Source organism: Homo sapiens, chromosome 6 (assembly GCF_000001405.40).
Source record: "Homo sapiens chromosome 6, GRCh38.p14 Primary Assembly".
NCBI classification, from domain to species: Eukaryota; Metazoa; Chordata; class Mammalia; order Primates; family Hominidae; genus Homo; species Homo sapiens.
Window position 1 is genome coordinate 41858943 of NC_000006.12, and position 14627 is coordinate 41873569.

At 41.0% G+C, this 14627-nt stretch overlaps 1 protein-coding gene across 3 annotated transcripts in view, besides 1 other annotated feature; it reads right to left on the bottom strand.

Moving 5' to 3' along the window:
- The window catches only part of USP49 (ubiquitin specific peptidase 49), a 105480-nt gene that overhangs the window by 69047 nt on the left and 21806 nt on the right, over positions 1-14627 (bottom strand). For all 3 annotated transcript variants that reach the window (NM_001286554.2, NM_001384542.1, NM_018561.5), the window contains exon 3: positions 12622-12695. The gene's annotated coding sequence lies outside the window, so the exon portion shown is untranslated. The remainder of the gene's footprint in view (positions 1-12621; positions 12696-14627) is intronic.
- Positions 176-376: a silencer, noted in NCBI's record as "peak5805 fragment used in MPRA reporter construct". NCBI's record gives its function as "represses an SCP1 promoter by STARR-seq MPRAs in K562 erythroleukemia cells {active_cell/tissue: K562}" and the evidence as "EXISTENCE:reporter gene assay evidence [ECO:0000049][PMID:32103011]".

Genomic DNA, 14627 nt, shown 5'->3' on the forward strand with positions numbered 1-14627 from the left:
TCAAGCACTTGGAACAGCACCTACCAGAAAAAAGATACTAAGTACTTATTTTCTGAAAGAATGAATAAAACTACCTCCACATCCATTGCCTCGATTCTAATTTAAACTATCATCAGTTCTAGCCCACATTACTGCAACTGCCTTTTAATGGGTCTTCCTGCATTCAGCCTAAAACCCAAATATGTCATTCTCACTGCCTTGGGGAGAAAGTCCAAACTCCTTAACATGGCTTGTCTTTCATAGTCTGATCCTGCATACCTCTCTAGTTCATCCCTCTTTCTCTACCCCATGACTATGCTCCAGCTGTTCTAAAGCATTTTAAGTTCCCCAAAGGAACTATTCTCTCTTACTTCTGGGTCTTCCCATAAGCTGCTCCCTCCCCTAGAACATTTTCATCATTCCCCTGGCTATCCATTCCTTCCTTAGCCTGACTCTTACTTATCCATCACATCTTGGTATAGTCACTCCTTCCTCCAAGAAATCTTCCACTACCCTCCAAGGCTGGGTTAAGCATACCTTCTATGTGCTCTCCGAGCACGTGTGTACTTTCCCTTATTCAGCATCTACCATGCTGTACTGTAATTGTCTGTCTGCTTGACTGTGTCCCAACTATAACAAACCTGAAGAAGACATCGTGCCGAGAACAGAGCAGGAACCTAATAAATTTTGTTGAATTAAAGACCGAGTGAATAAACAAATAACGTTCTACTTCAGTGTCCTCTTTGGCAAATTATTAATTGCTATGTCTAAGATTCTTTTTACATACAGAGGTGAAAAAATATTCTGACAAAAACTGAGAAAGCTACAGTAATTTTTAAATTAGAGTTCAAAAAATAAGACAATCTTTCTGATCGAAAAGAGTACTTTAAACTACTATGAAAGGGTGCAGGAAGACCCATTAAAAGGCAGTTGCAGTAAAATAAACTAGAATACCAATGGAAATAGTTGCAGACAATATAAAAAGAAAGTGTGTAACCTGTGTCTAAATGTTGTATATCCTAGAATACTTAATATATTGGCAAGAGCCACTAGCTAATAGTCCCATTTACCGAAGACTGTCATGAATTAGCAGACCTAGGCAATGACCATCAATGGCTACTCAACAAAAAGAAAAAGGAGAGACATCCAGATATTAGGTATCTCCTGATGGAAATATACACACTTATTAAGTATTTCTTCCACCAGTGTATCCAATAACACTGGGATACAGTCACCAGTATTCAGACTGAGGGGAACTCTACAAGACTTAGACTTAGTTTCTTTAGAGTCACTACAAGACTAATGACTTAGTTTCTTTAACATATAGCTTGCAAGGAGAGAGGGAGGGAGGGAGAGAGAGAGAAAGAGAGAGAGAGAGGAGGTGAGGCAGTTGAGAGACAGAGAGAAAAATAATCAACTAATTGCAACATTTGAACTTTACTGGAATCCTAATTCAAATCAGCAAACAATTTTTTAAATGAGATAAATGAGGAAATTTGAACACTGACTACTATTCGATGATATTAAGAAATTACTATCAGTTTTTATATGCTTGAAAATTATTGTAGTTTTTATTATTTGTTTATTTATTTATTTATTTATTTTGAGATGGAGTCTTGCTCTGTTGCCAGGCTGGAGTGCAGTGGCATGATCTCGGCTCACTGCAACCTCCACTTCCCGGGTTCAAGTGATTCCCCTGCCTCAGCCTCCTGAGTAGCTGGGACTACAGGCGTGCACCATCACACCCAGCTAATTTTTTTTTTGTATTTTAGTAGAGACATAGTTTCACCATGTTGGCCAGGATGGTCTCAATCTCCTCACCTCGTGATCCACCTGCCTCAGCCTCCCAAAGTGCTAGGATTACAGGTGTGAGCCACCGCGCCCGGCAGATTATTATTATTATTTTTTAAAGAACTCATAGGCCAGGCACGGTGGCTGGTGGCCCATGCCTGTAATCCTAGCACTTTGGGAGGCCGAGACAGGCAGATTGTCTAGCTCAGGAGTTCGAGACCAGCCTGGACAAGATAGTGAAACCCCATCTTTACTAAAATATAAAAACTAGCTGGGCATGGTGGCACACGCCTGTAATCCCAGCTACTCGGGAGGCTGAGGCAGGAGAATTGCTTGAACCAGGAGGTGGAGGTTGCAGTGAGCTGAGATTGCACCACTGCACTCCAGGCTGGGCAACACTGAGTGATACTCTGCCTCAAAACATAACAATAAAAATAAAATAAAACCAGGGCCGGGCGCAGTGGCTCACGCCTGTAATCTCAGCACTTTGGGAGGCCGAGGCAGGCGGATCACGAGGTCAGGAGATCAAGACCATCCTGGTTAACATGGTGAAACCCTGTCTCTACTAAAAATACAAAAAATTAGCTGGATATGGTGGCAGGTGCCTGTAGTCCCAGCTACTTGGGAGGCTGAGGCAGGAAAATCGCTCGAACCCAGGAGGCAGAGCTTGCAGTGAGCCAAGATCGCGCCACTGCACTCCAGCCTGGGCGACAGAGTGAGACTCAGTCTCAAAACAAATAAATAAATAAATCCAATATAAGTATAGAACATTAAAATTCTATAAGTATTCTCCCGCTGCTTTCTGTCTCCAGTAGCTTCCCTAGAGGTAACTACTGTTAACTGAGCATCCTTCTGGGGCACATTTCCAAGAATATTTTATGCATTTAGAAACATAATGCTTAATGTAAATTGTATCCTGTATGTTATTCTAAATTTTTCCTCTTTTAACTTAATATATCTTATACATTTTCCCATATATCTGGCTTTACGTCACTCTTTTTTTTTTTTTGAGATGGAGTCTCACTCTGTTGCCTAGGCAGGAGTGCAGTGATCTCGGCTCACTGCAACCTCCACCTTCCTGGTTCAAGCAATTCCCCTACCTCAGCCTCCCAAGTAGCTGGGATTACAGGTGCACACCACCATGCCCGGCTAATTTTTTTGTATTTTTAGTAGAGACGGGGTTTCACCATATTGGCCAGACTGGTCTCGAACTCCTGTCCCTCAGGCAATCCGCCCACCTCGGCCTCCCAAAGTGCTGGGATTACAGGCATGAGCCACCGCACCCGGCCATGTCACTCTTTTTAAAGACTGTAGCATATGCTATGCTATGAACTGCATAATGCATTTAACTAGCCCCCATGAGAGGAGAATTATGCCATTTTTGGTGTTTCATTATTATAAACAATACACCACAGATATGGTTGGGTATCTATCATGGGACACTTACACAAGTGCATCTATGACATAATTTACAGAAAATGAATTGCTGTGTCAAGGGATATATGCATTTAAATTTTGGATAGAGATCATCAAACTGGCCTCCAAAAGGTTACACTAATTTACGCTATCCCCTAATTACCCACCAGTAGTATTTGAGAATGCATTTCCCTAATACTGGAGACTGATATATCTTTAAATATGTTTCAATAGGACATTTGAAAAATAATATATACATATATTTTGTTTGTACATCTTTAGTTATAGTGAATATTGATCTATTTTTTCTTTTTATGTGAACTGTCAATTCATGTCTTTTCTATTGGGCTCTCAGCCTTGTAAAATTGATTTCTAAAAATATTTTGTGTTCTAATGAAATCAGAGTACATGGTTTCAAAAGGAAAAGATGGTCCTCAAACTACAGATTTAAAAATACTAAAAGATCAGCTTAAAAATAAGAGTACATTAAGGAAACAATGTGATTTAATGAACTCAATTTTTTTAATAGTGTATGATATGTTTACAGCACATTCAGACAAATATCAAAAAACAGAGGAATACAGAAGACATGTTAGATGTTCATATCTTTAACAAACCATGAAATTCACACTTAATATTTATTTTGTTTGACTTTATTTTATTTTGAGACAGAGTCACTCTGTCGCCCAGACTGGAGTGCAATGGTGTGATCTCGGCTCACTGCAACCTCCACCTCCCAGGTTCCAGCAATTTTCATGCCTCAGCCTCCAGAGTAGCTAGGATTACAGGCGTGCACTACCACACCTGGCTAATTTTTTTTTGTATTTTATTAGAGATGGGGTTTCGCCAGGTTGGCTGGGCTGGTCTCGAACTCTTAGCCTCAAGCAATCCGCCCATCTCAGCCTCCCAAAATGTTGGGATTACAGATGTGAGCCACCGCACCTGGCCTCTCACACTTAATATTTAAATATACTAGCTGCTCCTTAATTCAGCACTTCTTCCTACCTTCCTCCAGTTCTAGATATGGCACTCCTATTTACCTGTCTTGAAAACCTGACTTTCTCTTTAACTCCTTATTCATGTCACAATCAAGTCAGTTACTAAAGCCTACTAATTTGTATTCAGAAATGGGAGTATTAGATCCTAGTCTAGGCTCTTCATTATGATAGCTCATTTAAGAGTATGAATTCAAATGCTCCCCTTGTTTCTTGACTTCTTGAACCTAGTCACCCTCCCCATTTCCACTGCTATACCCTTGCCCCAAATCTGTCCTTACGCTGCATGCCTGCATTATTACTGTTTTAATTGCTAGTGGATCTTGACGCCTCCGATCTTTCTGGATCTACTACAGTAAATCTTAAGTATTATCACGGGTATTAAACAAAAACAGCATTTTCATTCTGTACTGATTCCCCTGCTTAAAAACCACATCAGCTATCTAATATCCAACAGCTAGGCACTGTATAAGTTAAATTTATTATTTAACTTTCCTGAATTTGTCTTAATGTTCTCACAGAGTTGATGTGATTATATAAAATAATGTATGTGATAGTGCCTAGCACGTGATAGTGCCTAGCATATAGAAGGTGCTCAAAAAATTAGATGAACAACATTAATGCAAATGAATTTTCTAAACCTCAGTATTTATTTATTTTTGATTCACCCTCACCCACTTTGAAGTGCAGTGGCATGATCATAGCTCACTGCAGCCTTGACCTCCTCGGGCTCAGGTGATCACCCCACCTCAGCCCTTGGAACAGCTGGGATTATAGGCATGTGCCACCACACCTGGCTAATTTTTGTAATTTTTTTTTTTTTTTTTGGTAGAGACAGTTTCACTGTGTCTCCCAGGCTGATCTCAAATTCCTGGGCTCAACCAATCCTACCACCTCAGCCTCTCAAACTGCTGGGATTTCCTGAGCCACCACACCTGGCCATAAACCTCAACAGAATTTGATGGGATTTTTAAATTAGAGAAAAGACCAAATGTCTAACACAATTCTTAGTATTTTGCAGGCACTTGATAACATATGTTAAACCCTGGACTTCCAGTAAAACAAAGCAGAATGAATATATTTACCTCTTTTCCCTCTTAAAATCACAATAAAGGGGTTTTAAAAAGGGCATAAATTCATAAGGACAGAAAAAATAGGGCTGGGTGCAGTGGCTCATGCCTGTAATCCCAGCACTTTGGGAGGCTGAGGCGGGCGGATCACCTGAGGTCAGGAGTTCGAGACCGGCCTGGTCAACATGGTGAAACCCTGTCTCTACTAAAAAAACAAAAATTAGCTGGGTGTGGTGGCACATGCCTGTAATCCCAGCTACTCAGGAGGCTGAGGCATGAGAATCACTTGAACCTGGGAGGCGGAGGTTGCCGTGAGCTGAGATCGCGCCACTACACTCCAGCCTCGGCGACAGAGTGAGACTCCGTCTCAAAACAAAACAAAACAAAAATCTCCTTTCACACCTTCAATGAAGGGAAGGCCAAAATGCCACCCAATTAAAAAAAAATTCTATTAAAGTATATTTTAAAATTAAAATAATTTTTGGAAAAAAATTTGGGTCATTCACGTTTTAAATGTCAGTTTCTTTTTCCATTAATATTCTAATGGCATTCCAGTTGTCAGTATTTAGAAACGGCTGAAGTTAGTGAGTGATAAGACAGACATCTAGCCAGTGAGCAAAGAGTCTGACAGCCATATTAGTTAACCTTCAAGTCAGTATTAAGTGACTCAATCTAATGAGCCAAGTCATATCTTTTTGTATAAAACTCTATTAAATAAATTACAGGGTTTGGGGAACAACTCACCAGGCAAAGAAAATCTCACGCATTTAAGAATATTTTTCTTCAAATAATAAAAAACAATTAGAATAAATTTAACATCCTTTGGTATCTCATTTTTTTTATTTTTATTTATTTATTTATTTATTTTTGAGATGGAGTCTTGCTCTGTCGCCCAGGCTGGAGTGCAATGGTGCAATCTCGGCTTGTTGCAACCTTTGTCTCCTGGGTTCAGGCAATTCTCCTGCCTCAGTCTCCCGAGTAGCTAGGATTACAGGCACCCGCCATCATGCCCGGCTAATTTTTGTATTTTTTGTAGAGACGGGGTTTCACCATGTTGGCCAGGCTGGTCTTGAATTCCTGACCTCAGGTGATCCACCCAACTTGGCCTCCCAAAGTGCAGGGATTACAGGCATGAGCCACAGCACCCAGCCCTCATTTTCTTTATTTCTTGACAAAACTAGCACTAACTTTGAAAGCAAAACAAGGTAAAATCAACCAAAAGAACAGCGGGATAGGCCTATCTTTATTGTTACGCTGGGGTTCCACGTAAAATTTGAAAAATCCTAAACCATGTGGTGCCTTTGTTATGTTTTTATTCATTTTTATTTTTGGAGAGTGGGTCATAGTATATTGCCCAGGCTGGTCTCAAACTCCTGGACTCAAGCAATCCTCTGGCTTCTGCCTCCCTAAATACTGGGATTATAGGCATGAGCCACCATGCTCGGCTTGTTTTTTTGTTTTAAGAGACAGGGTCTTGCTCTGTTGCCCAGGCTTGAATGCAGTGATGTGATTATAGCTCACTGTAACCTCGAACTCCTGAGCTCAAGCCATCCTCCTGCCTCAGCTTCCTGAGTAGCTAGGACTATAGGTGCATGCCACCATGCCTGGCCTTTTTTTTTTTTTTTTTTCCCCCAGAGACTGGGTCTAACTATGTTGCCCAGGCTGGTCTAGAACTCCTGACCTCAAGCAATCCTCCCACCTCAGCCTTCCAAAGCATGGTGCCTTTTTTTTTTTTTTTTTTTTTTTTTAGACAGAGTCTCCCTCTGTCGCCAGGATGGAGTGCAGTGGCGCGATCTCGGCTCACTGCAACCTCCGCCTCCCAAGTTCAAGCGATTCTCCTCCCTCAGCCTCCCAAGTAGCTGGGACTACAGGCGCCCACCACCACGTCCCACCAATTTTTGTATTTTTAGTAGAGACAGGGTTTCACCGTGTTAGCCAGGATGGTCTCGACCTTCTGACCTCGTGATCCGCCCACCTCGGCCTCCCAAAGTGCTGGTATACAGGCGTTAGCCACTGCACCCGGCCCTGCATGGTGCCTTTTTTAATAATCGAAATTGGCAAAATGTCAAGCCACTCTATCCTCAGCACTCAGCCACTGAGACACACCAGTGCTATCAACTCTGAGATTCCCCTAAAGAGGCAGCTGTGTCTAAGGCAAAGCACTCAAAGGCTAAAATGGAAGCTGTTAATAGCACATAAGCTCCATGATGGTAGAGATTTTTTTTGTTTTTATAGAACAGGGCTAGAACACAGTGGGTGTTCAGTTAATAATGTAAAACAAAAGGCTGAAAGAACATGAAAGGGCCTGTCCAAAGTTGGGAGCAACTCATACAAACAACATTCTGAGTTTGGTACATATCAGTGGGAGAGACATCATGACTTTCAACCCACACTGGGATCATTACAATGTTCTGAGATAGAAAGAAACCACAGTGCTCATCACAGCAAATCTAATGAGAAGAGTGGCCTTATTTTACATTTTTGTTAATCTTCTAAAGTCTGGATTAAGGAAAACAGCTGTATTCTCCTATCTGCTTCTGCGTTCAGTCAACTGCACATTATGTAGCCTCTGGAAGACTTCATTGCACACTCGTAAGAGAACGAGGGTAGAAATTCTAGAATTGTTATGAAAATTGTTTTAACTTCATCAGCCCCTGAAAGGATCTTGAGGGGCCCCAGACCACCCTTTAAGACATTGTTTTGAAAGATATGTGCAATAAGGGCCATAACTTTGATCAATATTCAGAAGAGATTCTCAAACAAGGGAAAGGGGTAAAAAAAGATGGAGAGAAAAAGAGAAAAACATCACTGACTACCTGCAACCACACTTATAGGAGGGCCAAGACATTTTATTAGTGTACTTGTTGTTACTTTAACTGTCGCTTACGCTGTACTTTACCATATTTTAACAAGAAGTGAATTGCTATTTGAAGAAAAGAAAAGCCAGACCCCAAAACAAAAACCACATACTACAATTCCTCCTAGTTCCTATATAAATGTCAATTGTTAGTGCACATTTACTCTTTAGGCCATCACATTCTAATTACACGACCTGTAAGTCACCTTTCTCCTGGCTTTTCTTCTCCTCTACAACTTTCTGCTGACTGTCACTCAAATATTATTTAACAGGATGAAAGAGCAATTTCCAATTATCAATCAGTTCCAAACTGCTGCACAGTTCAATCTTTCTGTCTGCAAGTTTCTATGAATAGCAGCTAAATAGCAATCTACAAACCAACTCTAATCCTTTCTAAACATATGTTCTTCTGGCCGGGCGCGGTGGCTCAAGCCTGTAATCCCAGCACTCTGGGAGGCTGAGGCAGGTGGATCACGAGGTCAGGAGATTGAGACCATCCTGGCTAATATGGTGAAACCCCGTCTCTACTAAAAATACAAAAAAAAAAAAAAAAAAGCTAGGAGTGGTGGCGAGCGCCTGTAGTCCTAGCTACTCGGGAGGCAGAGGCAGGAGAATGGCGTGAACCCAGGAGGCGGAGCTTGCAGTGAGCCGAGATCACGCCACTGCACTCCAGCCTGGGCGACAGAGCAAGACTCCATCTCAAAAAACAAACAAACAAAAACCAAACAAACAAACAAACAAAATATGTCGTTCTTTAGCTAGTTAGGTGATTTCTATCTACTATAAATGATTCATAATGAAGCAAAACAGCAATATTCATTTAAGCATGGTCAAGAAAAATAATTATTTATGAATAATCATCTCATGTCATTTTTCCCATACTTAAGATACATGATTTCAAATTTTCCTTCACACAGGCAAACAAAATCAAATAGTTACAGTGACTTTTTCAGGAGATATTTGGTTTTTATGTCTTATATAAATTCTCACTACCCTAGTAAACCTTTTAAGAGTTATTAACTAGGCCAGCACTCCCCTGGTCAATAGCATAGGCCTAGGTTTAAATCCTGAAGCTGCCACTTGCAATGTGACTTTGGGCAAATTACTTAATCTGGCACCTCACTTTTCTCAGCTTTAAGGTGAAGACAGTAACAGTATCTACCTCATAAGTGACAGGATGAAATGAGATAATGAATAAATGAGTAAAGCACTTAAAACACTGCCTGACACACAATACATACTAGTAAATGTTAACTTCTGTATTTATTTATTTATTTATTTATTTAATTTATTTTTGAGACGGAGTCTCGCTCTGTTGCCAGGCTGGAGTGCAATAGTGCGATCTTGGCTCACTGCAACCTCCGCCTCCCGGGTTCAAGTGATTCTCCTGCTTCAGCCTCCTGAGTAGCTGGGATTACAGGCACACACCACCACACCCATCTAATTTTTGTATTTTTAGTAGAGATGGGGGTTTCACTGTGTTGGTCAGGTTGGTCTCGAACTCCTGACCTTGTGATCAGCCCACCTTGGCCTCCCAAAGTGCTGGGAGTACAGGCGTGAGCCACTGCGCCCAGCCAACTTCTGTTTTTTATATTTTAGCCTTCTAAAATAGCCTCACTATCTATGGTCACAGCAGATAGAATAGTCCATAATAATCTAATCTACTCCAGAGCAATTCAAGAGGGAAATACTAAAAAGAGATTACTGTTTCTGTTTTGTTGTTGTTGTTTTCAGACAGACTCTTGCTCTGTCGCCCAGGCTGGAGTACAGTGGCGTGATCTCAGCTCACTGCAACCTCTGCCTCCCGGTTTCAAGCAATTCTCCTGTTTCAGCCTCCCGAGTAGCTGGGATTACAGGCATGCGCCACCATGTCCGGCTAATTTTTGTATTTTTAGTAGAGATGGGGTTTCACCATATTGATCAGGCTGGTCTTGAACTCCTGACCTCAGGTGATCCACCTGCCTTAGCCTCCCAAAGTGCTGGGATTACAGGCGTAAGCCACCACATCTGGCCTGTTTCTGTTCTTAGTCTTTTTTTTTTTTTTTTTAATTTTAACACCGAGATAACAGGAAACAATAAAAATAGATTACTGTTTCTAAGTGCTCTTCCTTCTTAAAATAGTTAATTGTCTACACCACCTAAGAAAGTGCTGACAAGCCATACAAACAGTATCAGAGATAATCTTCAAAACTGCTATGACTCTAGCCCAGGTACAGTGGTACCTATAGTCCCAGCTACTCAGGAGGCTCAGACAGGTGGATCACTTGAGTCTAGGAGTTAAAGGCCAGCTGGGTAGCACGGCATGACTCTGTCTCTTTAAATAAAAAATAAAATAATTACTATGATCCTGTGTGCAAAAAGGAAAAAAAAATACTTCAAGCTGGGTGCAGTGGCTCATGCCTGTAATTCCAACACTTTGGGAGGCTGAGGTGGGTGGATCACTTGAGGCCAGGAGTTCAAGAGAGGCTGGACAACATAGCGAGATCCCATCTCTACTAAAAATACAAAAATTAGCTGAGCATGGTGGCACACGCCTGTAATCCCAGCTAGTCGGGAGGTTGAGGCATGAGAATTGCTTAAACCTGGGAGGTGGAAGTTGCAGTGAACCAAGACTGCACCACTGCACACCAATCTGGGCAACAGAGGAAGATTATCTCAAAAAAAAAAAAAATAGAAAAGAAAAAAAACTCAAGAAGGCATGTCCTTCAAAATAGATTGACAGAAACACAACACAGCATTTGACATAGCTATCTAGAAACAAAAGAATTGTGTAGCCTGCTTTACAAGATACTTTTACAGGCAAGATGAACCTATGTTAGGCTGAAGATAGTTGTTTATTCATATATAACTATAAACATCATATACACCCTAAGATATACAGTAAAAGGTAAAGATATAGAACTTTATCCTCACACATAGTCTAGCAGCATACTCAGAGATGAAGTCAAAAGAAAACTTCTCATGAAAAAAACTAAAAAGCTTTTGCCACCATGGTTAACCGTATCTGAGATGGTTTAACTCTTGGAATGTATCAGAGAAAAATTTATGTGTGGATGGCTGGCACATAAAAAGGCTAACTGGGATACATATGAGAATTATAGTTAACATTTACTAAACACTTACTTCATTCCAGACATTATTTCAAGTTTTTTATATGGATTAACTAATCAATTGCTAAGAGATAGCATTTTATTGTCCTCACCTTATATCCAAGGAATTGAGGCACAGAGATAACATGTCCAAATGTCAAGTTAATAGTGACTGGTTAAAAACGGTCTGGCTCCAAATCCATGTTTTTAACCACTAGGCAAAGAAGGTTGCACAAATACATGCCATATACTTATAGACTCTGGGAGGAGGGTAAGATTCAGGTAGAGGATTGTAGTTATCTGTTATTTTTAAATTATTGACATGAATGTATAAACTTGCATAATTAAAAAAACTTTTATATCTCATAAACTTAAAGTCAAACCTTTTACTGAGCTTTCTGTAGAATTCTATTTTTTAAGAAGGTCTTGCTCTGTTGCCCAGGCTGGAGTGCAGTGGAATGATTATAGCTCACTACAGCCTCAATCTCCTGGGCTCAAGCAATCCTGTCACCTTAGCCTCCCGAGTAGCTAGCCACCACACCTGGCTAATTTTTTTTTTTTTTTTTGGTAGAGATGAGGTCTTGCTATATTGCCCAGGCTGGCTAGAATTCCTGGTCTCAGCCAGGCACAGTGGCTCACGCCTGTAATCCCAGCACTTTGGGAGGCATATCCCAGCACAAGGTGGGCAGATCACTTGAGGTCAGGAGTTTGAGACCAGCCTGGCCAACATAATGAAACCCCGTTTCTACAAAAATACAAAAATTAGCCAGGTGTCGTGGCGGGTGCCTGTAGTTCCAGCTAGTTGGGAGGCTGAGGCAAGAGAATTGCTTGCACCCGGGAGGCAGAGGTTGCAGTGAGCCACGATCACACCACTGCACTCCAGCCTGGGCAACAGAGCAAGACTCCATCTCAAAACTAAATAAATAAATAAAAGAATTCCGGGCCTCAAGCCATCCTCCCACCTCAACCTCCCAAAGCAGAATTCTATTTGATTACCACCAGACACACATCTGCACTTGCTCAAATGAACGGGATCCTCGTGGTGGGACAAACATCATAGCAACTGACATATTTGGAGAAAAAGAAGGGGTAGATAATTACTCTTGACAGGTCATGACAGATACGATCTCTATCTTACCACCAAGTTTCAAGACCTACCCTAGACTTGTTTCAGTATGGTTGCTGGTCTTTAGGTCCCATTTTAACTTCAAATATGGCTGTGTCCCCTCTTAGCTTAAGTTAATTCGTGGTACTAAAAAATTCACAAGGTTAAGATGAAAGCAAGCGGTGAAAGTTCAGAATGGAGTTAGACAAAACAGTAACTGATCAATTACCCTCATAGTATGCCAACCTCAGCCACACATAATACTATTATTATAAATAGCTTTCATTAATAATGTTTTATTACAGTTTTTATTTCTTACCCATTAAACAAGTTTTTTCCATCTTCTTCCATATTATTCCACAGTCATTGGTTAGGTTTCCTCTTCTCTATTACCTACAAGTGGGAAACAATCTGTAAGATTGGGCTAATACATGGCAAGAAAAAAGCAATTTCATTAATTGTAATACAAATTCAAAAAAGGACCAGTAAATTACAATGCATTAAACTCCCTACAAGTCCTTAAAACTGATGTAAGAGTAAAAAAAAAACTGTGATCTTTCTTTTCAGCTAAGAGTAACCAAAGAGTCAGTCACTTATGGGTAGACTGATCTACAAATGGAAGTATTAAAGGTTTACTTCCTGAAAAAAAGCACTTCTGCATTTGTTTTAGGTCTTAAAAATTACACATTATATTTGCATACAATCTGAAACTCAGGAAAAAACACACAAATTCATGGTAACAAAAATACTCGAATATCAAAAGCTAAAATTATTTTTGCGTAAGCAAAATATATAACAAGATGGCATGAGGTGGTGACTCTTTTGTGCTAAGTGGGTTTATGACCTATATGTAAGCGGCATGCTTCTTTAAAAGCGGTATATATTCTGTACACAAGGACAATATATTAGCCAAAGACATCTAGAGTTTATGATTTTGACAAATTATATGTATAAGCATGTTTAAGGTTTCTGACACATTATCAGGAAGTAGGACTCAGTATTAAGCTTGAGATCGGCAAGCTGGGCCACCACTGTAAGAGGAAAGAAAATTCTCTATTGTGTCATCCTAACAGCTAACACAGAGTTCCTCTTCGAAGAAACTTTAAGAAAATATGTTCCCGGCCGGGCGTCCGCCGCCCCATCTGGGAAGTAAGGAGCCCCTCTGCCTGGCCGCCGCCCCGTCTGGGAAGTGAGGAGTGCCTCTGCGCGACTGCTGTGCAACCATCCAAGTATGAAGTGACAGCCTTGTGTGTTATCTTTCTGTCCTCCCCAAGTTTGCATTTTCGACATTAAAGTTTACTTTTTAATTAAAAGTTTTAAATTGGAGTACATATATATATATAAAAAGAAAGAAAGAAGAAAATATGTTCCCGGCCAGGCACGGTGGCTCACATCTGTAATCCCAGCACTTTGGGAGGCCGAGACGGGCGGATCATGAGGTCAGGAGATCGAGACAATCCAGGCTAACATGGTGAAACCCCATCTCTACTAAAAATACAAAAAAAAAAAAAAATAGCAGGGTGTGGTGGCAGGCGCCTGTAGTCCCAGCTACTCAGGAGGCTGAGGCAGGAGAATGGCGTGAACCCGGGAGACGGAGCTTGCAGTGAGCCAAGATCGCGCCACTGCACTTCAGCCTGGGCGACAGAGAGAGACTCCACCTCAAAAAAAAAAAAAAAGAAAATATGTTCCCATAATATGGGCTCCCATCACTCATGTCCAGTCCCCTTGGAGTAGGTGGTTTGCTGCAGAATGGCTGGCTGTCAAGATCCTAGAACGGTTGTCAAGAAAGGGAAATTGCTCTGCATTAGACAGGGAAGAATTTGGTTTTATATCGCTGAAAGGAATGGGGAGAAGAATGAGGAGGAGAGGGAAAGAAAAAGAAGAAAAGAGTTAGTATAATGGAGCAGAGCTGGGATTAGGTGGGGGTGAAGCTCTTGGGTCAAGGGAGGTCAGAAAACACTTTCAGAACAGGAATGTTTTAGTAGGGAAGTTGTTTGCATTAATGCAAAGGCTCACTCCACCTCTATTTTGCCCCTTTCTTCAGGTAGGTACACAAAATCTGCAAATGCCCTGTGTGAATAGGGCCTTTCTGAAAATCAGAGGGAGCCAAGTTTCACATGTGGGTGCACTATGGTGCAAATCAGTGGCACGAGGCCAGAAAGTAGGTCCCAGGAGGCAGAAGAGGTTACAAGATCATGAAACCTAGCAAAAACACAAATATTTTTAGGGAGAGCTTACAACTTCTAGTTCTAGGTTCGGGGATCTGAGGCAACCGTATCCATGAAAAGCTAAGCTGACACTTTATGGACAGGGGTTTCACATCCA